Source organism: Homo sapiens, chromosome 17 (genome assembly GCF_000001405.40).
Source record: "Homo sapiens chromosome 17, GRCh38.p14 Primary Assembly".
Taxonomy (NCBI): Eukaryota; Metazoa; Chordata; class Mammalia; order Primates; family Hominidae; genus Homo; species Homo sapiens.
Window position 1 is genome coordinate 70014468 of NC_000017.11, and position 26671 is coordinate 70041138.

The 26671-nt window shown below is 38.4% G+C and overlaps 3 long non-coding RNA genes across 3 annotated transcripts in view; 1 reads left to right on the plus strand and 2 right to left on the minus strand.

Annotated features, from left to right (window-relative positions):
* On the minus strand, positions 1–23301 carry LOC112267896 (uncharacterized). The gene is made up of 5 exons (XR_001752989.3): positions 23215–23301; positions 7612–7730; positions 4996–5125; positions 2856–2925; positions 1–460 (listed from the first exon to the last, which is right to left on the minus strand). It is a non-coding gene; the product is annotated as an uncharacterized LOC112267896 (long non-coding RNA).
* LOC105371881 (uncharacterized) overlaps positions 1–26671 on the minus strand; it is a 78916-nt gene that overhangs the window by 18576 nt on the left and 33669 nt on the right. The gene's annotated exons all lie outside the window — the stretch shown is intronic.
* Positions 21712–25255, plus strand: LOC124904053 (uncharacterized). Its single transcript, XR_007065891.1, has 2 exons — positions 21712–21798; positions 24961–25255. It is a non-coding gene; the product is annotated as an uncharacterized LOC124904053 (long non-coding RNA).

Below are 26671 nucleotides of genomic sequence, written 5' to 3' on the forward strand. Positions count from 1 at the left end.
TTTTGAGATGGGAGATTTTTATTCAACAATGACAAAAACAAATAGATTTTTGAACATACCCCTGATCCTGAATCCCTCTCCTTTCACAATATACTTATTTACTTAAATATAATTTGTAGAAATATTGACATTAAATACTACAATTATAATTATTGCTATTATTTAAAATAATTCCGTAATTATGGAGCGATTAAAATATATAAACTATGTGACGATCTTAAACAATATGTGCATTTTTTCAGAAAGTGAACTTTGTATTATTAATATAAGAAACTCTATGTCTTGACCATATCATTATTGAAATACGTTTCCTTGATATTTTCTTTAGTCTTCGAAGATCATAGGTATACATGTAACTCTTCTAACAAGCATAGCATGAACAATCTTCTTATAGGACCAAGAAGAAGTCATGTTTGATTTCTTTGCATAGTTTGTTTATTTGCCTTGGATTCAGAAGGAGCTAGGAGAAGAATGGGTAAAATAGTGTGATTACCATTGTATTTAACATAATACAAATGGATGAATCCTGGATCTACTGCCTGTCTTTCCTGCTCCGTTCTCACAATAATCATTTAGTGGTATGAGCTCCCTAGTTAGCTGGCTGCCTAAGAGGCCCAAAATAAACAGGAAGGCATTGTGCACTGGCATTAGAAAAGCATCAGACACGTTAAAACTGCTTATTATTACTATTTAAGGTAAAAGTGCACATAGGTGAACGTATTTTATTAATTTATCTATTATATTAATATTCTATTATTCTTTCATCATACGAGAATTTGTGGAACACTTATTTTATGTTATAGACACTAGGAATGAAATAGTAAAGAAGGAAAATTTGCTTCCAAGGAACATCCATTCAGGCATAAAGGTATAAAAAGCAAGGAAATAAATGAGTTCTGTGGATAAAATAGAGATAAGACCCAGGAGCGGCTTGCTTGTACTGGAAGAACAGAGTGGTTAGAGATGGCCTTTCTCAGAAGATAACATGTATCCAGGCACCTGAAGGACAAAAGGGAACCTCTTGTTTAAAGATTGAAGAAAGGCATTCACAGCATGTAAACAGAACCCAGGCTCTCCCCTAAACATCTTTGGGTTGCATAGTGACAGTACAAATGGTGGCCCACACACCCTCATCTAGTTAAAAGTTATAAATCTAGCTAACAAACTGTCAATACAATATTTTCTATTCTCCCACCTTGACACGTTGCCTTCATAACAGCCTGGAAAGCCTGCTTTGAATATAGAATTCTTGCCTTTCTTGAAATTTTTTGTTGGCACATGGCAGCATAAAGGAGAGCTAACCCTATCCCTAGGCCTGTTCCCCAATCTCTTCTCATCCCTGGGTCCTTCCTACAATGTAAGAAGCCTCCACGTTTCATGTAGATATCCTAGTCCATACATTGAAACTCTGTCCACATCCTACTCTCAGCCACCCCTTGGTAATCTCTGGAGCCCAGAGGGTGCATACACCTGTGGTGTGACTCCTCAGCCTCTGAAGATCAGATTTAGGGAAAAAGAAGAGGCCTGTGTAGGTCGTGGAAGCAGGCTCAGGAACATTTAAGGAGAAAATCTTAGGCCTTTGGGTATAGGTAGTGTGGTCTAAAGGGGAGAGGTTGTGGATACCAGGAGGGCATGACCCTTTCATCCTGTAGACTCCTAGCCCTGTAGAAGGGACTGAAGCTGATGGGAGGACAGAGTGAGGCTTTCTACACTTTTAGGCTCAGGACAGCAACCCTTCTTGCCCAGGTCTAACATGGTAATTAACCAGACTAAAGAGGTTTTTCAGAAGAAGTATTGTGCACAACTTATGTGGGCTTGGTCATCTGAGGGGGCCAACAGAACAAACTCCATGTCAACATTTTCAACCTGTCTGACCTTGCTGAAAGTCTTCCCAGATCCAACACCTGTGAATGCTAAAGTTCTGGAGCTGTGACTGAGGTTGGGACAGTTTAGAAAAATCAAAAAGGCTAGGATGCCTGGATGGAGTGAACAAGGAGATGGAGTAGAGAGAAAAGCAGGAGCCAGAACACACAGGGACTTTTTGGTCATCTTTAGGAGTAATTTTTCCCAAGTATAAAGGAAGGTTGTTAATTTGAGCATAATCTACTATGCTTCAAATTTATCTTATATGAACATTTTTGTCTGCTAAAAGTGATCCTCTAAAATGGTGGACTGGGTTGTGGATTCGAAGGAATAGTTTCTAGTTAAGCCTGTGGCACCACTTTTCCCCTCTCCACCTTCCATAAAATAGATATTCTTACTACAAGAACACCTGCATGGAGAAAGTATTACCAGATCCATTTCATGGGTAAGACAATGGAGGCTCAGAGGGTTCTATAGAGCTGCAGAATGAAAAACAGTTAGGGACATTGAGACTTCTGATTTGAGTCCTGAGTATCCTGTATGTTGGCCATGCCTCTTCGGATAAGTTAACTTCTCTACACTTAATTAATAACTCATCTGATAAATAGTGATAATAATAGTATTCACTACATGAGGTTGTTGAGGTAATTTAAATGAGGTAATGTAAATAGTGCATTTAGCAAAATGACACATAAAGTATGGTCAATGAACATTTGTTTATTGTAATTACTGCTACTACCACTACAACTAACTCCACTCATTATTATTTAGGGCTATATTATAAACAATTAAGGAAAGTTACATTTAGGTTTCCTGATTCAAACACTAGTGCCCTGGCAACCTTAAATGTGGCTATTTAATCATACGCACACACACACACAAATTAAAGAGCACCCCTATTTGTAGATAACCACCATTATATTATGAAGGGTATGGTATTTCATAATTTTGTAAAGGCAAAGCCACTCCTCTGTCTGTACAATCTCACTCACTGTGAAGCTGGTTTGGAATCAGCAGCTGGAGGAAGCTCTGGAGTGTTCTCACAAATGAAGTGTGACAGCTCTGAAAATATAAAGCAGTGAGCTACAAAAACTAATTATAATTTATCTTTAGGCTTCAGAGCTTGAGGTTCAAACCTCCCTGTCTCTGTCTCTCACACAGACACATACAAACATACATACACGTACACACACACATTTATACACATGCACATGAACACACACATACACACCGTCATTAGACATATGTGCAGTGTTTTCTATATTGACCTCTTCTCTCTTCAACCCACTTTGGTGTCCTACAATTATAATCAATAACTATATATAGATGTGCCACACTTGAAATTCCAACATGATGGTAAATATCCTTTCCATTAGACTTCGCATTATATCCATGAAAGTTGAGTGGATTAGGATATGGTAAGAAGGTTGTTTTTTAGAATAAAATATTTTGTTCTTAGACATTCTACCAAGACATTGTATTGCTTCTGGGAAAACTTCTAGCCGTTGTGTGTGGTAAGAATTTTGAGCTCAGGCCGACTGGGATCAAATCCTGGCTCTCTACTAGGGCAAGTTTCAAACACTATGAAGCTCAATTTCTTTTTCTGTAGGGAGAACTACCATAAATAACTACTTTTGTTATTGTTAATATTTATTATTATTATTATTATTATTATTATTATTATTACTTGCAACCAAGACTGAGAGAGTCTGAGAAATCTGTAGTAATCCAAATCCACCACTCAAGGGGAAACTATTTGATGAATATCTTAAAGAACAAGTTCTCAGCCTAAGTTTCTCAGAGAGCAAAGCCTGGGGCAAGGGCTGTGTGTGGGCAGCTCATTTTTGGAAGCAACTTCAGATATGAGGAGTGGAGAACTGGGGAAAATGAGTCAAGGATAACAGAGAAGTCAATTAATAGGAACATTCTTAAGTTAATCTCCACTGGGCTCAGTAGTTCCATTGCCTGTCCCTACAGTGTTCCTCTAAGCAACTGGGTATAATACAGCTTACAATTGCCCATCTGAAAGAAGAAAAGGGTATTTATCCACTAGCTTCCATCTCCCATGTTCAAGTGTTGGCCCATGGAGCAGCAACTCCCTAGAGCATCCAGGATTCATGTGTGTTGGTGCTGGGAATGTTTTTATAATCATCTCACTGTGTGGATGTGAGAGAGGGCCCATGGCAGAAGTGAAAGATACTTGTTTCAGCTGAAGAAAGGGGCTGTCAGATCACACTGCTGCTAGCTGGCTGCCCATGGTCCTAGTAAAAGATGAACCAGGAGGATGTGAGAACGGGCCCAAGGTCAATCTTCTACAAGCATTTTCTCTAACAAGAGGATCATAGTAACAATGGCTGAGTAGCCATCTTTACTAGGATTTGCAAGAATATGAACTGCTTATAAATTCAGATAGTCATTAATGTCTTTGGGGGATAGAAAATGGAAGCAAGGCCGGGCACAGTGGCTCACGGCTATAATCTCAGCACTTTGGGATGCCCAGGAGGGTGGATTACCTGAGGTCAGGAGTTCCAGACCAGCCTGGCCAATATGGTGAAACCCCATCTCTACTAAAAATACAAAAATCAGCCAGGCGTGGTGGTGGGCACCTGTTATCCCAGCTACTCGGGAGGCTGAGGCAGGAGAATCGTTTGAACCCGGGAGATGGAGGTTGTGGTGAGCCGAGATCGCACCACTGAACTCCAGCCTGGGTGACAGAGTGAGATTCCCTCTCAAAAGAAAAAAAAAAAAGAAAATGGAAGCAAATGCATGATTTCCCCTCTTCTATCTAATGTAAAGTTTTTCAACTTTGGCACTATTTACATACTGGGCTAGATACAATTTCTCTGTGGGCTGGGCTGGCTTGAGCACTGCAGAGTCTTGGCAGTATCTCTGGTCTCTATCTACTAGATACCTGCGGCAGTTTTCCCTCCTTCCCCCACCCAGTGTCTCCAGACCTTACCAGATATTCCTAAGTTTCAGGCAATTGCCCCTAGTTGAGAACCACTTATCTAATAAAACTGAGATGTTTCTCCCACCTCCCATTTTCTCTCTACTCTCCAACCCACAACCAAGGATCCCCAAAGCTGTTCTACTGTGGCCCATGCACAAGTGTCTCATATCTATGACTTGCACCTGCATCCTAGTGACCTGAACCAACCAAGGTTTTTCTCTGCAGCTCTGTTGACTAGAAGGGCTGTTTAAAGCAACTTGATGGGGCCAGTGCAACGGGATGTAATTAAGAGCAGTTAAATCGAAGAATCTTCTGAAAGAAAAAATATGAAGGGATTACTCAAATAATTTGTCACAATAAGTTATGTTTAAAAATATTTTTATGTGTTTTTCTCCATGTTAAAACATCCGTCATTTCAAAAGGAACAGTTGAAAGAGTAGTTTAGAAGGTTTTCTTTGGTAAGCATACACCAGACCAGCAAGTTAAGGAAGATAATATAAGTCTCCCCAGGAACAATTTTTCCCCTTTCAAATGTTACATGCTTTTTATTTTATTTATTTATTTATTTATTTATTTATCGAGACGGAGTCTAGCTCTTTCCTCCAGGCTGGAGTGCAGTGGCGTGATCTCAGCTCACTGCAACTTGTGCCTCCTGGGTTCAAGCAATTCTCCAGGCACAGTGGCTCAGGCCTGTAATCCCAGCACTTTGGGAGACCGAGGTGGATGGATCACCTGAGGTCAGGAGTTCGAGAGCAGCCTGGCCAACATGGTGAAACCCCATCTCTGCTAAAAAAAAAAAAAATACAAAAATACAAAAATTAGCCAGGCATGGTGGTGAAAGCCTGTAATCCCAGCTACCCGGGAGGCTGAGGCTACATCCTTTTTAAAGTAAACTTTTAAATTGAGAATAAATTTTGATTTACAGAAAAAAATCTTGAAAGTAACACAGAGGCTTCCTATAAGCTATGCACTCAGTTATCCCTATTTTTAATAGCTGACATTAGTATGGTAAGTCTGCCACAATTAATGAATCAGTATTAATAGTTTAATGTTAACTAAAGTCTGTGCTTTATTCGGATGTCTTTGGATTTTCCCCTAATGTCCTTTTTCTGTTCCAGGATCCCATCCAGGACACCACATTACATTTACTCAATTTACTCATCATGTGACCTCGGACCATTCTTGACTGTGACATTTTGTAGCATCCTTTTTAATCCTGGGCTCCTAAGTCGACAGGCATCAGGTAAATCTCAAGGCATCTTAGGTCAGAGCAGTCATGATTAGGGATGAGGAAACAAGGGCTGAGGCTTTGCTATCTCTGTGTACATAAGGGGAATGCTAGATAATTGGAATTTGATTAGATAGCTCTAATGTCGAAACAATAAAGGATATAATTTCATAACTAGGCAAAATGTTCCTAGACACAAAAAGACTTTCTGTGGCTTTGGATCTTGGTCCTAGCCTCCCTTTTTAGCCTCATTTATTTCTGTTCCTCTTATGTCCTAAGATCAAAGTGTCCATACTAGTCCCGACTCGGTGCTAGATATGTGTTTTAAATTTGTTTGGAATGTGTTTCCCCTACATCTCTACCCATTGACATCCTAAGCATTTCTCAAGGTCACCTCCTCTATTTGTCTTCCTGACAGTCAGTAACTCCCTCATCTACTCTGCTCCAGTCTCAGCTTGTGCTTTTCCCAGTTAATTTTGCATTCCACGTAGGCGCAATTAATATTAATAATAATATTGGGTGGCTGAGGCAGGCAGATCACAAGGTCAGGAGTTCGAGACCAGCCTGACCAACATGGTGAAACCCCTTCTCTACTAAAAATATAAAAAAATTAGCTGGGAGTGGTGGTGCGTGGCTGTAATCCTAGCTACTTAGGAGGCTGAGGCAGGAGAATCACTTGAACCCAGGAGGTGGAGGCTGCAGTGAGCAGAGATCACGCCATTGCACTCCAGCCTGAGCCACAAAGTGAGACTCTGTCTCAAAAAATATATGTATTAATAATAACAACCACACATTGCATTTTTACCATGTGCCCTGTGCAAGAACATACACTTCCTTGTGTAATCTCCATGACAACCTTAGAGGGTAACTACTAGTTACCCCCACTTTACGGAAGAAGCTATTGAGGCATAACACATTTAAGTAAGCTGCTCATTCTCTCATAGCTAGGAAGTGGGCAAGCAATACCTTGAGGTCGAATCCGTCTGATTCTTAATAAGGTCTGACAGTAGTGCCTATTTATTCTAGCTTCTCACATGACTCTGCTACCACCTTCCTTGATGAAACCCACTATTCTCCATTCTACAATAGCCTGTAAACTACTTAGAAAGAGGGGTTCCATTTTATTCATAACTGCATGCACAAAGCTTTATGCATTTAAGGCCTTCAGTAAAGGATTACTGAAATGATTTTCTTAAATTAAAAGAAAAATAGTAACGTTATTGTGGCCTGTAAGCTTGAAGCTGGCAGCTCTGAAAGCAAGTTGGAAGAATGCGCATGGGAGGAGAAAAGCTAAAAATACCTTCTCATTAAAGTAATGATCAGAAATACCAGTGAACTTTGCGAAGAGAAATTCTTCAGGTTCTCCAGTATTAGACGGCACTGGGGCTGAGGTCTAATTGTAGGAAACAGTGCCCTGTCCAGGGCTTTTCTCTTGCCTACACTGGAAAATGACAAGGTGTAGTGGAATGCGGTCTGCTTGGGATTTGGGGATTCAGCTTGCAGCCTGCCAGGAACTAACTCTGTGACCTCCAGAAATCTTCTTAATCTTTCCGGGCTCCAGTTTCCTCACCTGTAAAATGCTGGTGAAGGACCTTGGGCAAACTCTAAAGATTCCTCCAGCTCTAACATTCTATGATTTTAGATGTAATTATGTGACTCCTGGAAGCAATATTCATCCACACAGGCTTTCTGGGGAAAAAAAAATGGGAAGGAAAAAGGAAAAGAAAAACACTTCCATAAAAGTATTTATAGTACAGCCAGTGACTATGAATCATGGCATAATTAATTCTCTTTTATAAAGTTGCCTTGTTTCCTAGCAGTGCAGTAATTCCCAAGCCCTGTTCAACGGCAGCTCCATTGACAGATATGCCACTTTCCTTGTCTCTTTGCAGTGAATAAGTTCAAACCATCCAGACTAATCTCTGAGTCTCTGCCAGCTCCAAATGTCTGTAGCTGAATGAGTCTAATCATCTGTGACTGACTGACAGATACGGTTGCTAAAGGATATAAGATATATGTGATCTATCTTGACTTTAACGAAGCTCTGGATTAATTTCCTCACATTAGTTTTGTCCATCAAGTTTTAATATTAAATGCTTTATAATTTAATCATGATTTGCCTAGAAAAATCATAGCCATAGGCTGATTTGAAATTGCTGTGTGCTAATCCTGTAGTTATGGTAGATAACAAAAATCCTTTTCTGCAAAAATATTCACACATCCATTTCTTAAATCAGATTCTTTTTGGGTGCAGATTCTGATAACTTGTCTTCCTAATAACACCTTCCCGATGAATATTTTCTCATAAAACATTTTTCTCTAATCTCAGATCTCATTCTAGGATTCTTTAAATGGCATGCAAAGAGCTACCTGCAAGTATTCATGCCAGAGAGCTAGATGTCATCTTCATTATGTTTTATAGTTTGGTTTTATTTACTACACGTCTACCACCAAAATTGAATTGAGAAACCATGTATTTTCAGTTTCTTCTCCCTAAATTAGGGAACTGAGGAATTAGAATGCAGTTAACAGCAGCTAATTTTATGTTGAGAAATTCTACTGAATAACCAAAGTGAGAAGATTGATCTGCCCATGGAACTTATTCATGAACTTTCTCTCACCATTTATTCTCATCTTATTTCTCATTTGAATTTTGGTAGCAGCCATGTGGATAAAGGATGATGCAAATACAGTTTGGATTTTTTTCTTTAACTTTGAGTAAGGTGGCTTGCCTTCCTGATACTGGTTTTTTTCACATGTAAAATAAAGAAGTTGGGCTGGTTGACTTCTGAAGTTATGTAAAAATGAGTGTCTAAGGTAAAGATTTCACAGAGCAATCTAGATCAATCTATTCTATAACGATCTAAGCTGATTCACGTCCTAAAACAACAGATTTTTAGGGATCATTTTAAAATTCCCTTTTAAAATAGTTTTTATTTTGAAGGCTATACCTTTGTTGTATCCTTTATTGGTAATACTACATAAAATACTACATAAAATTCACAGGGTAGTGAATTTATCCAATGGAAAACTCATCATCCTTTTATCTAAGATAGTAATAGAATTTTACGTGGGCCACAATAAAAGTCTAAACATTTCAGTCACTCAGAAAATAATCAGTCTCCTATAACTGTCCCCGGGAAAGAGAGCTATGAGCCAGACAAGAAGTGTAATCCTTGGCAGAAATAACCAGTTTACTGAAATCAGGGTCTTTAGCATCCACTTGACCCCACATTGAACAGACTTAAAAGCACTGAAGGATTTCCAGCTTGGTAGCTTGATCTGCCTATTTCATTGCTTTCAGCAGATAGTAGTATTTAAAATGAGCTCTTTAGAGTTGTGTCTTTTTTTTTTTTTTTTTTTTTTTTTGAGACAGAGTCTCGCTCTTTCGCCCAGGCCAGAGTGCAGTGGCGCGATCTCGGCTCACTACAAGCTCCGCCCCCCCGGGTTCACGCCATTCTCCCGCCTCAGCCTCCCGAGTAGCTGGGAATACAGGCGCCCGCCACCGCGCCTGGCTAGTTTTTTGTATTTTTAGTAGAGACGGGGTTTCACCATGTTAACCAGGATGGTCTCGATGTCCTGACCTCGTGATCCGCCTGCCTCAGCCTCCCAAAGTGCTGGGATTACAGTTGTGAGCCACCGCGACTGGCCTAGAGTTGTGTCTTTTAATTAGAAATCCTATTTGAAAGCAGAGAACATTGCAGTTACAGAAAACAACAAATACACTCTTTCTGGTTTTAATACTATTTTCTTTTGTGAGAGGAAAAAAACCATCTGTATTAATTTATATCGTATGAAGTAAATCTTATAAATTTATAAAGAAATTCTCCAGTGTTATCTGTAAAAGGAATTATTTTGTACTGTCTGGAGGGCATAACCTCATCTGATTTCATAATGAAGCTTATAGTAATCTGTATATACAAGTTGAGAACATTGGAGAAAGGGGTGAGGAATGCACAAATGTTGCACAAAGATTGCAAAGGAAATATTGCATATTTAAACAACTACTGTTCCATACAGCAGCACAGGCCTCCAATGCCCTCTGTAATGATGTACAATGGGAAGGGACTGGCAGGTCTCAGTAGAGTCCAGGCAACTTTATTTTCTGAGGTAAGTATCTAATTATTTCCCAGGCTGCTGAACATCAATGAATAGACATGCTGATTTCTCACTTTGCAATGTCTCTCGTGATTTCCTTGACTGAGTGGATAAATCAGCCGGAGTTCTGAAGCTGTAGGTTCAATGTGGCAATTTTTTTATTTCTATCTACTACAAAAATGAATTCCAACTAGGACTTATTTAGAGATAAGAGAAACAATTTCTGATTGGTGTTGCCTAATGCGCTAGTTAATTCCAATCTTTAATCCTGCCCTGTTGGCTCAATCTAAAAGAGACATCTTTTTTTTTTTTTTTTTTTTTTTTTAATCTAGGGCATGTCGTTGGTTCCAGTTGTCTTTTGTAATACACGCTTTGTCTACCTGGAGCTGGAGAGAATGAGAACAATAACACTGAGAAGAGAAATAGAGGTATATTTCCTTGTGTCAAAAAACAAAACAACAAAACAAAAACTCTACTAATTCAAAACTAAACAAACCAACCTCCCCCTTTGCAGGCAGGGACACGTGATTGGAAGCAGAATAAGAATTGTTCTCCCATTGTATGTTGGCACTCACATAAAAATAGAGTTTGTACTCTATCATTCTTTAAAATGAAGTTTTATACTAATATGTCTGTTTATAGTTCTGTGGGCATTTAGGTTGATTCCATGTCTTTGCTATTGTAAACAGTGCTGCAATGAACATACACGTGTATGTGTCTTTATGGTAGAATGACTTATATTCCTTGGACATAGACCCAGTAATGGGACTGTTGGATTGAATGGTAGTTCTGTTTTTAGCTCCTTGAGGAATCGCCACACTGCTTTCTACCATGTCTGAACTAATTTACACTCCCACCAACAGTATATAAGGATTCCTTTTTCTTCACAACCTGGTCAGCATCTGTTATTAATAATAGCCATTCTGACTGGTGTGACATGGTATCTCATTGTGGTTTTGATGTCCATTTCTGTAATGACCAGTGATGTTGAGCTTTTTTTCATGTTTCTTGGCCACATGTCTGTCTTCTTTTGAAAAGCGTTCATTCACTTTGTTCTTTCCCCACTTTCTGATGGGTTTTTTTCATGTAAATATGTTTAAGTTCCTTACAGATGCTGGATATTAGACTTCAGAGCTACAATAACCAAAAAAGGCATGGTACTGGTACAAAAACAGACACACAGACCAATGGAACAGAATGGAGAACCAAAAAATAAGGCCACACACCTACAACTATCCGATCTTCAAGAAACCTGACAGAAACAAGCAATGGGGGAAGGATTCCCTATTCAATAAATGGTGCTGGGATGACTAGTTAGCCATATGCAGAAGATGGAAACTGGACTCCTTCCTCAAACCGTGTACAAAAATTAACTCAAGATAGATTAAAGACTTAAATGTAAAATTCAAAACTTTAAAACCCTGGGAGAAAATCTAGGCAACATCACTCTAGACATAGGAATGGCAAAGATTTCATGACAAAGGCACCAAAAGCAATTGCAACACAAGCAAGAATGGACAAATAGGATCTAATTAAAGTTAAAGAGCTTCTGCACAGTAGAGGAAACTATCAACAGAGTGCACAGACAACCTACAGAATGGGAGAAAATTTTTGCAAACTATGCATCTGACAAAGGTCTAAATCCAGCGTCTATAAGAACTTGCATAGCTTGAATCAGTCCTGCATCCCAGGAATAAAGCTTAATTGATCATGGTGAATTCACTTTTTGAGGTACTGCTGGATTTGGTTTGCTAGTATTTTGTTGATAATTTTTACATCTTTGTTTATCAGAGACATTGGCCTGAAGTTTTCATTTTTGTTGCATCTATGCTAGGTTTTGATGTCAGAATAATGCTGGCTTTATAGAATGAGTTGGGGGGTATTTCTTCTCATTATTTTCTTTTTTTTTTTTAAATAGTTTCAGTAGAATTGGTACTAGCTGTTATTTATATGTCTGGTAGAATTCAGCTGTGAATCCATCTAGTCCAGGGATTTGTTTGTTTTTATTACTGATTCAATTTTGGAACTTGTTATTGGTCTGTTCAGGATTTTAATTTCTTCCTGGTTAAATCTTGGGAGGTTATGTGTTTCCAGGAATGTATTCATTTCGTCTCAGCTTTCTAGTTTGTCTGCATAGACAAGTTTATAATAGTCTCTGAGGACTTTTTTGCATTTCTGTGGAGAAGTGGTAATATCACTTTGTTATTTCTGATTGTGCTTATTTGAATCTCTTTTTTGTGTTAATCTAGCTAATGGTCTATTAATCTTGTTTATTCTTTCAAAGAACAAACTTTTGGTTTTGTTGATTTTTTTTGTATGAACTTTTTCATCTCAGTTTTGTTCAGTTCTTCTCTGATTTTGGTTATTTCTTTTCTTCTGCTAGCTTTGGGGTTAGTTTGCTCTAGCTTTTCCAGTACTTCCAGATGCAATGTTAGGTTGGTTAATTTGAGATTCTTCCAACTTCTTGATGTAAGCATTGAGCACTATAAGCTTTCCTCTTAATACTACTTTAGCTATCTACCAAAGATTTTGGTGTGTTGTGTCTCTGTTTTTATTAGTTTCAAAGAACTTTTTGATTTCTACCTTAGTTTTATTATTTATCCAAAGTCATTCAGGTGCAGCTTGTTTAATTTCAATGTAATTGTATGGTTTTGAGATATCTTCTTGTTATTGATTTCTGTTTTATTGCACTGTGGTCCAAGAGTATGTTTGGTATGATTTCTATTTTTTTTTTTTTTGAATCTTTGAGATTTGCTTTACAGCCAAGCAGGAGGTCAATCTTAGAGTATCTGTCACGTGCAGATAAGAAGAATGTATATTCTCTTGTGGTTTGGTAGAGCATTCTGTGTCTATTAGGTCCAATTGTTCAAGTGTTGAGTTTAAGTCCAGAATAGCTTTATTAATTATCTGCTTCAATAATTTGTTTAATCCTGTCAGTGGGATGTTGAAGTCTCCCATTATTATTGTGTGGTTATCTAAGTCTCTCCATAGGTCTCCAGGAAATTGTTTTATAAATCTGGGTGTTACAACTTTGACTGCATATATATTTAGGATAGTTATGTTGTTGAATTGAACCCTTTATCATTATATAATGCCCTTTTTTGTCCTTTTTGATCATTGTTGGTTTCAAGTCTGTTATATCTGATATAAAAATAGCAATTCTTGCTCTTTTTTCCAATTTGCATGACACATATTTCTGAAATCTTTTACTTTGAGGTTATCAGTGTCGTTACATCTGAGATGAGTCTCTTGAAGACAGCAGACAGAAAGGTTTTGTTTCTTTTTTCAACTTGTCACTCTATGCCTTTTAAGTGGGCATGTCCCACTTAAAATGGGGCATTGTTCCATTTACATTCAAAGTTAATACTGATAAGTGAGAATTTGATTCTGTCATTGTGTTATTAGCTGGTTGTTAAGTAGACTTGATTGTGTAGTTGCTTTATAGTGTCCATGGGCTATGTACTTAAGAGTTTTCTGGTGGCAGGTACCTTTCTTTCATTTCATTTATTTCATTGTTTAGCACTCCTTTAAGGACCTCTTTTCAGGCAGTTCTAGTGGTAATGAATTCCTTTAACATTTGCTTGTCTGAAAGGATTTTATTTCTCCTTCACTTATGAAGCTTAGATTGGCAGAATATGAAATCCTTGGTTTAAATTTCTATTCCTTATAGATGCTGAAAATAGGCCCCCAATCTCTTCTGGCTTGTAAGGTTTCTGCTGAAAGATCCATTGTTAGCCTGACTGGGTTCTCTTTGAAAGTGGCATGCCCCTTCGCTCTAGCTGCCTTTAAGATTTTTTCTTTTGTGTTGACCTTGGTGAATCTGATGACTATGTGCCTCAGGGATGGTTGTCTTGTATAGTATCTCACAAAAGCTTTCTGAATTTTTTGAATTTGCATGTTGACCTCTTTAGTGATATTGAGAACATTTTCATGGACCATATACACAAATGCATTTTCCAAGTTGCTTACTCTTTCTCCTTCTCTTTCATGAATGCCAAATGAGTCATATGTTTGATCTCTTTACACAGTCTCTCACATTTCTTAAATCAAGGCTTTTTTTCCTTTTTCTGATTATTTTTTCTTTATTCTTGTCTGCCTGTGTTGATTCAAAGGAATGGTCTTCAAGCTCTGAGATTTTTCCCTTAGCTTGGCCTATTCTGTTGTTAATGCTTCCAGTTGAATTCTGAAATTCCCATAATAAATTGTTTAAGTCCAGAAGTTGTTTTGTTCTTTCTTAAGATGGCTATTTTATCTTTCAACTCTTGGATTGTTTTACTGTTGCCCTTGGATGGGGTTTCAACCTTCCTCTGTACCTTATTGAGTTTCTTTGCTGTCTGGATTCTGAATTCTATATCTGTCATTTCGGCCATTTCAATCTGGTTAAAGACCATTGCTGGGGAACTAGTGTAGTTGTTTGGAGATAAGAAGACACTCTGGCTGTTAGAGTTGCCTGAGTTCTTGTGCTGGTTCTTTCTTATCTGTGAGGACTAATATAACTTTATTCTTTTAAGTTGATATCCTTTGGGTGGGGCTGTTTGTTTTTATGTTCTTCATTTCCCTTGAGGTATGGTAGATTGGCTTCATTTCTAGATGCCTTCAGAGGGCCAAGGCTCAGTTCCACATTCCTGGGTTGCATTCTCTAAATCCAGGCAGCTGGGACTAGGCTGATAGCTTTGTCCTCTGGCCCCTCAAGATCAAGCAGTAGCTGTGCTGGGGTGGGGGGGCCCAAGGTGCTCCCAGGCTACTGACAAAAGCACTCCCTTGGGGGCTGCTAATGAAAGTGCTCCAGTGTGATAGCAGGGGCTAGCTGGAACAAAAAAACATTCCAGCAGGTGGCAGGGGGCTGCTGGTAAAAGTGCTATGGCAGTGGTCACTGGCAAATGTGCTCCAGCAGAGCAGTGGAGGCTGCACTGCGTGTCCACTCCCAAAGGAGCCTCCAGGTAGGGACTCCGGGAGGGACTGGCAGACAAGGGGGAACATAGATCATACTCACTGTGGTTCCACAGCCCTGCTGTCTGCAGGCCTGACTGTTAGCAAAGGTCAGAGCCAGCTGGGGGAGTATGGAGAACCTTGGGGGATAGGCACCTATTGCTGATTTCCTTTGCAGCTATCTCCACACCAAACCCCCTGGGCTCTGCATAGACTCAGGCTCTGTCTCTGCCGATGCTCCACGCAGATCTCCCTGTCAACTTACTTGTCCATAGGGGTCATAAGCTCTGCAGCCAAGACACGGGAGATCTGTGGCAAGAGTAGGTTGCACTGCAGTTATTTCACTCACCACTATCCTTAGGAGTGGCTCAGGGTCAGGAATGAGTTCTGGTGTTCATCAGTTGCACACAGGGTTCCCAACTTCCTCCTTCTTCAGCTCCTGTGTCTGCATTGTCTCTTCATTCACTCTCAGCACATTCTGTCAGAAGGATCTCTATTTGGAGTATACTGGTCTGCTTGGGAGTCTGATGGCTCTAGATGGAAGAAGCTCTTCCTAGCTGTGTCTAGTCAGCCATCTTTATTCTTTGTCTTTTGCTCTGTACAGCTAGTCACCTCCAAGACAATACCAGGAGGATGTTGCAAATCCTCTATTTAAATTTTGTGACTATTAATTATGTCAAAAAATTTATGTAGTAAGGTAATGTATTGTTTCAAATAGAGTTTAAGTTAACTAGAGGGATACATGAGTAAGGAAATCATTTTTTCCGCTTCTTTTAGCTCATTTTCATTAGCCAATCTAATTCTACACTCTTAACACTCTCTTAGAAAAAAAAAAAAGTTCTACTTATGTAGCTTCAATGGATTGGGAAGTAACAAGTGGTACCAAAAGTTCATTATATCCTAATTTTCCACCCTGGGTCTCAAAGCAATATTGTCTTATAGTTTAGGTTTTTTCCCATGTGCTGGACATGATATGTGATGGAAAGAATGCTTGGTAATTAACCTTGGATCATAACTTGGCAGCTGCTAGGTCTCCCATCTTTAATAGCCATTCACAAGAAGTTGAATTGGGTCCCAAGCTGTCATCCAAATAAGCAGAATGTGTCCTAAGGCAGATCAAATCTAATTACAGGGCTCTAGAGCTATTCCCTTTCCATTCTCCTTAAAAAGAGGCCACTCATACTGCTCCAGCTCCCCTTACGCATTTTGCAGCAGTATCAGGTGGTTCCCAGTAATTCACTGACTCGTAAACCAAACTGATAGAAGTTCTGACTCTTACTAGTCCAATTGAGGTCCTCTGGTAATTGTCTTCTGGTAGAAAGTTGTGGATTTTGCATTATTATTGTGAGACCTCCAATTCATAGACAAGGACCACATGCTCTCCTTCCATATTCTCCTAAATTAGAAAACTTCAATGAGTGTGTTATATATCTCCATCCCAACAAATATTTATCTTCCTTGGCTTTCTAGCATCCTTTACATTTCTCCGTTTCCCTAGGCCCCTAGCAATTATGAAATCCATTAACTATAATTATAAAGCTCCATTAAAAATTTGATATACACAGCAGTTAATATTCACCATCTGTAATCTTCCAAATGAATATTTGTTTATTTCAGTACTTCAGCTGCTACATCTAAAAATGAAGGTAAATAATTTGACAAGGGCCTCAAAAGCCCTGAATATTTTATTTCAACTGAGCAGTATGTGACTTCTTAAAATATCTCAGGCTCTTTCTTTCATAATGCCCCTATTGATTTCTTTTTTTAGAAGACTAGAAAGGGAAAGGATTTAGGTTACAAAATTCATACTTATTTTTAGTAAAGTATTTAAAAACCAAAAGGTATCATTAGAGAAATGCTATTATATTGTCAGTGCAATCCCCAGTTAATATGTGAGGCACTCAATTTAAAATGGTCAAGAGAAAAATCATCATCTTCATCATCATCTGTGGAATCTAACATACTAGTTCCAGTCAGAATTCTTGTTTGGAATAGAAACCAACAAACCCACTCTGGTTAACTTAAGCAGAAAAGGGATTGCTCATCAGATCTATAATAGCTCTCAGATTCAAGCTGGAGAACCAGACTCAGGGAGAAATCAAGGAAGTAAAGGTGCAGCCAAGGAGTCCCCAGTGGACTTCATGGTATCACTGTTGACAAACAAACCTTTGATATTGCTGTCTCTTGTGCCTTCACCCCTGGACACTGGCTGCTGCTCTGCCAGTATCCACTGTCTCTAAATATTCGTTGTTATGCCACTGGGAATCTCCAGATTACAGTGAAAAAATTCTGACTCTATACCTTCACTTCTCTTCCTTTTTTTTTCAGTTTCAAATGCAGGCCACAGCTTCTGATTAGTTGAGCTGTTAATATGTTCAGGGTCTAGGTTCCCAGATGTATTAGGCCGTTTTCATGCTGCTGATACAGACATACCTGAGACTGGGTAATTTATAAAGAAAAAGAGGTTTGATGGACTCACAGTTCCACATGGCTGGAGAGGCCTCACAATCATGGCAGAAGGCAAAAGTCACATCTTACATGGTGGCAGACAAGAGAGAATGAGAGCCAAGTGAAAGGGGTTTCCCTTTATAAAACCATCAGATCTCATGAGATTTACTCACTACCACCAGAATATTATGGGGGAAACTGCCTCCATGATTCCGTTATCTCCCACCATGTCCCTTCCACAACACATAGGAATTATGGGAGCTACAATTCAAAATGAAATTTGGGTGGGGTCACAGCCGAACCATATCACCAGAGGAAAAGGCAAGATATACTTTATGCTCCTTTTGTTTTATAGTAGAAAGTGTAATTCCACCTCTGTGTCAGTCTATTCTCACACTGCTATAAGGACATACCTGAGACTGGGTAATTTATAAAGAAAAGAGTTTTAATTGACTCACAGTTCAGTGTGGCTGGGGAGGCCTTAGGAACCTTGCAATCATGGCAGAATGGGAAGCAAACATGTCCTTCTTCACATGATGGTAGGAGAAAGAAGTGCCAAACAAAGGGAGAAAAGCCCCTTAAAAAACCATCAGATCTCCTGAGAACTTACTCACTATCATGAGAACCTCATGGGGGAAACCGCCCTCATGATTCAATTATCTCCACCTGATCCCACTATTGACATGTGGGGATTATTACAAATCAAGGTGAAATTTGGGTAGGGACACAGAGCCAAACCACATCAACCTCTACCTATCCTTTGAGTAGCCACAAATCTTGGTTTGTGGTAATAGCCATGATTTTAGCCCATTGTTCAGGAGTAATGATGAATAATGCTCCCTTTATTCCAAAATGTATTCAGGTTTAGATGATAAATGATGTGCTTGTCTTGCTTATCAAAGGATTTCGCCTCATATTCAAAGGATGTTTAGATGCTGGGAAATCAGATTTTATACTCTTTGTTTCTCACAAAGACACAAAGTGTGACTGATGCTTCTTTACCATTTTTCTTCCCACAAAATGGGGATGGAAACATACTTTTGCATATCATTATTTCTTGAGGTACTTTCACGTTTAATCCCTTTGAGCAAGCAGTCAACACTAACCAAACACAAACATTAGCTTCTTTCAGAATCTAGTAATGCATCCCATTTACAGGTACTATTCTTATTGATGGATGAAAAAGGTAGAGAATAACTAAGTTCTCTCATATGAAAGCTTATAAAAGTAATTTATCACATATGCATCTACTGCTAAATAGTATCATTTGTGTGCCCAAAGCAATATGTGCTCAGATGGGAAAGCTTTCTAGAGATAGTAACTAGAGTAGTTTATGGTTTTGCTAATGTGAGCCAAGTGGGATCAAAGGGCAAAGAAATTATTTTCCCTCCACCCTCAATTGGGATGGTGACCAAGATAAGCCATTTACCTGCCATAGCCTGAAAGTAGTATCTCCTCCTCTTCTCCCTGTTTTTCTAGCCAATTGCATCTGAGGCATTCATTTTCTTTTATCATCCACTTCCTGGTAATATTATTATGCTTTCTTGCTATCTAGATAATATGTATTTTGATGGTCCATACCACTTAAGTTGGGTACCCTTTGAAGTAGGAAACCATACCTTGATCATCATTGTTTTTTTTAGTCACACCTGACACAGTGATTTGTATGCAAAGGTTCTTGATTTTTAACACTATAATTAAAATGTAACCATGCACAGTGTAATGTACATAACAAAGGTTCAAACTGTGTGTTAAATGATCGAACATAATTCCGAGTAAAAAGAGCCATTTGGAAATTACATAAGTTTCTGGAGATACTGGATGTAGAATCCTCAGTATCTTATAAACTAAATTCTGCAAAGAAATACATTAGGAACCTTGGAAGATGTCTTTTTTATATGTTATTCTGGAAGATGTCTTTTTTATATGTCATGCTGTTAATGTAATACAATACAGGAGGAGCAGTCTTCTTCCCAAAGAAACTTACTAGCTCTCTGGAAGTTACTCTTGTGAGTTTATTTTAATGGAATTGCACCTTATGAATTTTGATTGACAAGGACTACCAACTGTGACCTTTGTGACTTATCTTGATATTTTAGTTCCTTGAGATGAGTTTGTTCTTCATCATTGAGAAGTAATAAACTGAAAATAGATGCCTCCACAGAGACCATAATAGAGAACACTTTCAAAGGGGAAATTGCTTTTGCTCAGAGAAATGTTCTCACCATTTTACTTTTTTGATTGTTTTCTCACACCTTATTTCACATAGGAAGACGTTTTCTTTAATTACCGTAATCAAATGTGCGCTCATAGGAAGTGACTCAAAGGAAAAAGGTGTAGACTCCTATGAACTGATAACATAGAAGCTGGTGACCACACAGGAAGGCCTTCAACATGGAAACACAATGTTAGTTTTCTGCCAGGATTTCATGGCCAATGATAAGGCATTGCATTCCCTTGTACATATTTACATAACTTCATGAAATTGCTTTTAAGTAAGGCTTGCAAGATGCATTACGTATGTGGAATTAACTTATATTTCATTACATTGTATGGTTTAGGCTCGTTGAAATGCACAGTTTTCCTAGTTTTGAGTCTGAAATGAAGAAGTAAATATTTGTTCATTCACTCAGCAAGTATTTATTGAGTGTCTACTATGTGCAAGGCATTATTCTAGGGTCTATAGATACAGAAATAAACAAGACAATGTTCTTTTCCAGTCCTGGAATATTAGGGTAACATGGAGAAGATGGGAGTGGAGACATAATAAACAAATGGACAAATATATATACATATATAAAAAATATAAAAATGTTATAATGTAAATATATTTTATCAGGTCATTGTAAGTGCATTGGAAAGCATGAGACAAGGAGAAGAATAAGACACTGCCAGTGAAATCAGGAATTTCTATTTTAAATAGGTGGCCAAAGAAGTTGTTCTAAGGAGGTGCTGCATGATATAAAATCAGATATAGGTTTAGTGAGAGTAACATCATGTGGATAAGTGACAGCAGAATTTTCTGGATAGAAAAATCGTTGAACTTGCTGCCCTAAGTAATATCCTCTTCCAAGAAAAGGCAAGGTGTTCGGACAAGGAGGGTGAGTGTTACAAGGTGAAGTAAGAATATTAGCAAGAACTAAATCATGTGCTTATGCAGGCCTTGATACTCCCTCTGAAAGTTATACCAAATTTTTTATATATATATATATATATATATATATATATATATATATATATAACGTATACTTATATATATATAATGTATGTTTATCAATGAGTTCTCTGAAACACCAACTTTTGTATCATTGTAACTGCCTCTTCTATCTCCTTTCTTTTCCTCCTTTCTTATTCCCTTTCAAATGTACCATACTTGAGCTTTTATGCTACACCTGGTTTTTACATAGAAAAGGAATTTAATGAGAGTGTGCCTGTCACTGCACAAAGAATATTCCCATTTGATCTTTACAGCTACCTTCTTTTTTTTTTTTCTGAGACGGAGTCTCGCTCTGTCGCCCAGGCTGGAGTGCAGTGGCGTGATCTCGGCTCACTGCAAGCTCCGCCTCCCGGGTTCACGCCACTCTCCTGCCTCAGCCTCCCCAGCAGCTGGGACTACAGGCGCCCGCCACCACGCCCGGCTAATTTTTTGTATTTTTAGTAGAGACGGGGTTTCACCGTGTTAGCCAGGATGGTCTCCATCTCCTGACCTTGTGATCCGCCCACCTCGGCCTCCCAAAGTGCTGGGATTACAGGCATGAGCCACTGCGCCCGGCTACAACTACCTTCTAAGGCAAGGCTGAGGTTAAGTAAGGAGTCATGAGGTTCATAAGCTTAAGGCTGTTTGAGCTCCTCCTGTTCTGCCACACTACCACCATCTCCATGGCTCAAGGGATGAAGTGGACCCTTCATCATCTCACCTGAAAATTGAGTGGGTGGGCTTTACCCCAAAGGGTATATGAAAGGTTGACCTTGGACTCGTATCCTAAAGCCAGCCAGACTATTTTCCAGTTGTATCCAGTCCTTCCTCACTTCCCTTGTCTGCTGCCAGGGGGAAGAATTCTAAAGTAATTAGCTAGAACTGGTCCTACTAGAGTATGGTGAAGGCGGCTTCTGCCCAAGAAATTTACCTTGTTTTGTGGTCTCTCTGTTCATGTGGGTCTCACTCATAGATAAAAGTGGTGTGGCCAAGAATGGAATTGAGAACACTGCCTCCAATAAGACAAAACTAAATAAGCCAAATGGTGGAATTTCAAGGCCTATACACCGTGTCTGGGTTTCACGGGTAAGCTATTCATCTGCATTTCCTGTATGCTTGTAGTCACTTTTCATTTGCATGTTCCCAGAGAGAAATAAAATACTGATATAAACAAAGGAATTGGAGCAAGGCAGGTTGGTTCTTGGGAGATACAAATATTAACTCTTATTCTGTCTTTCTAGATTTTTTGCTTCAAAATATTCTGTTCACCGCTAAGATTTTAATGAAAAGAAACATCTATAAGAAATGTTTCTCTATGTGTACCTCTTAGAAATGTAATAACTTATTTATGCAAATGTAAATTATTAAAATAAGTAATTAATATTGATTTATTATTCTAATGCCTCTTCTGAAGAACTCTTCTAGCTGTGAACTGAAAGTTATATCTTGAAAGTGTGCAGCATTTGGAACCAGATGAAGCCAAGTTTAAGGCTGGGCATCCTTGCTTACTGGTTGTATTTCTTTGGCTAGTTAAGTTCTGTGAGTCTCAATTATTAAATCTGTAAGTGGGTATAATAACTCCCCTAATTATACTGTGAGGTATATATTATTATGTGAGGCAATGTATATTAAAGTATTATACATTGGAAACCCCACAAAGGTAAGGTGTTATTAGTAATAACCATCATTTAATGCTGTTCACACATGACATGTATATATAGTCACTCCACAAAGCCTGTGATTATCTAAATTGGTGATTAGAAGAGTAACAGAAGTTCTTTCCAAAGACAACACATGAATTCAAAGATTGAAAAAACATTCTTCCATCACAAAGAGAAGACTTTACACTTTCTGTTCTATTTTGTGAAGAGGATATGGAAATTAAAGTAAGCCTTATGTATTTTTTCCAAAATATGGATATTAAATCAGAGAAACAAATAAAGAACAAAAGCCACAACAATAACAACAGCAACAAGCAAACTAAGAGTCTTCTGGCTCAGTTCAAGGCAATAACCTGTATTGTAGGTAACAATAGTGATTACTCCGTATTTTCTCTTTTTATTAATAGAAGAAACTCAAAGAAGAAGAAGAAAGTCTGGCTTCCTTTTACTATTTGTGACTATACATAAAATAGAACTGGAAAAGAGAATAATAATTATCCTCTTGTTTGACTTATGTCAACAGCTTTTTTTATTGTCATAAAGACAAAATAAGACAAAAAGCATTCCCTTATAAAAGTGTGAATTGTTACTAAATTATCTAGATAATTTCTTCTACTCTGTTTTACTGTTGCTGAATGTTTTACTTATTGTCCCCAATAATGTTGTATGGCCATGTTCCAAAGACTTTTAAACATTTTTTGATTTACGCACACTTTCTATTAGCCATTTTCTAAAAAGATTTTTTTCCCAAAGCAAGTTGAGTAATCATGCTTTCTATTTTTAATTTATACTTAACACTCTATTTTCGTTCTCACCATTCATGTGCTCTGTGTTTACTTACCTTGCTTCAGACAGGTCTGTTTCCCTTTCTCTTTTATGGAAAACTTCACCATCTGTTCCCAATGCTGTAATAGCTTACCATGGTATTTAGGTTTATAGTGGGTAGGACTGAGGAGTGGCAAAGAGAGTTAAGAAAAAGAAAAAAAAACTGAACTGTGTCAATTGAAATTCAAGTTAATTAATGGAAAACTTTTGTGTTAATAAAACATTTTTATTGCATACTATAACATGAAGCATACATTTCCTAAAATGTATTTATTGTTATATCTACTACTAATATTATTCAGCCTTTTTTTTTTTTTTGAGACAGAATTTTGCTCTTGTCACCCAGGCTAGGGTGCAATGGTGCAATCTCGGCTCACTGCAACCTCCACCTCCCCGGTTCAAGTGATTCTCCTGTCTCAGCCTCCCTAGTAGCTGGGATTACAGGCATGCACTACCACGGCCAGCTAGTTTTTTGTACTTTTAGTAGAGACAGAGTTTCACCATGTTGGTCAGGCTGGTCTTGAACTCCTGACCTCAGCTGATCCACCCACCTCGGCCTCCGAAAGTGATGGGAATACAGGCATAAGCCACAGTGCCCAGCCTATTCAGCCCTTTTCTATTTGGAGAATGGTTGGTCTTTGCACGTTTTACGTTGTCATCCACATATAAATGAAATCAGTTGAAATAAGAACCATTATGACACTTTTACATTAAAAAGAAAGTAACTATTGAAACTTTTCAGCAAAGAAGATATACGAATGATCAGTAAGCACATAAAAAAAATTGCCCAATATCTTAGTCATTAGGGAAATGCAAGTTTAAGCCACAATGAGGTTCTATCTCACATCCACAAGGATGGTGATAACAAAAAAGTAGACAATAACAGTTGTTGAGGATGCAGAGAAACAGAAGCCTCACGCACTGCTAAGAGAAATGTAAAATGGTATAGCCATTTTGGAAAACACTTTGGCAGTTTCTTAATCAGTGAAACAAATTTATCATATAACCCAGAAATGAAATTCTACCCAAGAAATGAAAACATATGTCCACACCAAAACATATACATGCATGTTCATAGCAGCATTATTCATAATAGACAAAAAGTGGAGCCAACTCAAATCTCCATTAATTAGTGAAGGGAGAAATAAAATGTGGTATTTTCATACAATGAAATACTATTCAGCAATAATAAGATAAAGCACTGTTTCGGGCTATTACGTGGGTGAACCTTGAATGCATTATGCTAAGTGAAATAAGCCAGGTACAAAATATCATGTAATAGTATGATTCCACTTGTGTGCAAAGTCCTGAGAATACAAATCTATAGAGACAGAAAATAGATTAGTGGTTACCTGGAATTGAGGTGGAAACAGGCATTAACTATGAAGGGGCCTGAGGGATCTTATTGTGATGATTGAAACATTATAAATCTGGATTATAGTGAGACAGATGTACCACCACTAGGTACTTTACTAAAAGCCATTGAATTGCATGCTTAAAATGGGCTTGAGTACTGCAGTAGGTTTTCTGTGCAGGTGTCTTAATAAGGTTTTGTATGGAGGGAGAGGCTAGCCCTCATCTGGGAAAGAGACTTGCTAGGATTTAGTCGATTTTGTCTCTGTTTGTGCCACCTGCCCCACTATGAAAGCTTTATGACCAATAAAAACAGGAAATATGCAATTCCTGGAGCTCAGGTTTTATATTTTCCTGCCCCAGAGGACAACATAAAATCCATGTTAACCCTAGATTTTATGCATTTCAGGTGTTCAAAACAAGGTACAGTGTAATGCAGGGAACTTGAAAAGCAGAGCGTTTGACCTCAGCATCCTGAAATCAGGTGTGAGAAGAAGAAAACAAGACACCTTGTAATTAAGACAGATCCAAGACCAGATTAATAATAAATATGGCAGGAAACATTGGGAAGTGTCACCCTAGAGGCCGAACCATGGATTTTAATATGTATCCTTTCAATTAGCCATTGACTCTGTGGACATCCTTTCATACTTAATGGAAGCAGCCTATGTTAAAATTCAAATAAAATCTCAAATTTAAAATCATTTCTCATTTTCACTCTGCATTTATTATAGCAGCCTCTTTGAAGTCACTGTCCTTCTTCTTCTTTTTTTTTTTTTTTCCCCAGACAGATTCTTGCTCTGTTGTCCAGACTGGAGTGCAGTGGCACGATCTCAGCTCACTGCAACCTCCGCCTCCCCGGTTCAAGCAATTCTCCTGCCTCAGCCTCCTGAGTAGCTGGGATTACAGGCACCCGCCACCACACCTGGCTAATTTTTGTATTTTCAGTAGAGACGGGGTTTCACCATGTTGGTCAGGCTAGTCTCAAACTCCTGACCTCAAGCGGGTCTCAAACTCCTGACCTCAGGCGATCCGCTCACCTCGGCCTCCCAAAGTGCTGGGATTTCAGGCATGAGCCACGGAGCATGGCCTGAAGTCACTTTCTATCCGATAATTTATCATTCATTTTCTTTTAACATATATTAATTGGCCATTGACTCTATGGACATTCTGCTCAATGGAGAAGTCCAAAGGGATATCAAATATCCTTGAACTTTTCACCAATTTGCAGGACAGCGGAGGATACAAGTCAAACATATACATAGATAAATTACTGCAATAGAGCAGGGGAGCACATGCTGACAGCCAGAAGAGTAGGGAGTGGTAGTTCCTAAATGCATATTGATTAACTGTTCCTAGGCTGGTTGCATCAAAATTGTTTGGAAAAGAAATAATAATACAACTTCCCTAGTCTTACACTATCCCCTTGCTATTCAGTGTGAACTGAGGACCAACAGCATTGGCATTGCCTGGAAACTTGTTAGAAGTGTTGGATTGCCAGACCCGTCAAAGACCTAGTGAATCAGAATCGCATATTTAGTAATTTTCCTGTATGATTCATAAGCACATTGAAGTTGAGGAAGCACTCTGGACTATAGACAGATGTGTCAGTCATGAGATTCTGGGAATTTTTTTTTAATATATGGTTACTAGGTTGTTTCATTTTTTTTTAATTCATTTTATTTGTCTATTCTACTAGAGAGGTAAAAGTTGCATATATTTATCATGACCAACAAGTTTTTTGAAATACATTGTGGAATGACTCAATTGAGCTAATTAACATATGCATCACTTCACATGTCATTTTGGGGGGTTTGAGAACACTTAAAATGTACTCTAAGCAATTTTCAAGAATACAACGTATTGTTATTTACTATAGGCACCATGTTGTACAATACATGTCTTGAACTTATTCCTCCTAATTGAAATGCTGTAGCCTTTGACTAGCACCTCTCTATCCATCTTATCAGCGCGAGCCTCTGGTAACCACCATTTGGGAATGTGTATTTTTACAAGGGTCCCAGAGGGTTCTATGTTCAAATTGTGCAGAGAAACCAGTGACCACAGAAGATGGCGAATTGCAGAGGTCCCTAGAGAAGGTGGTCTTGCATTGACTAAGA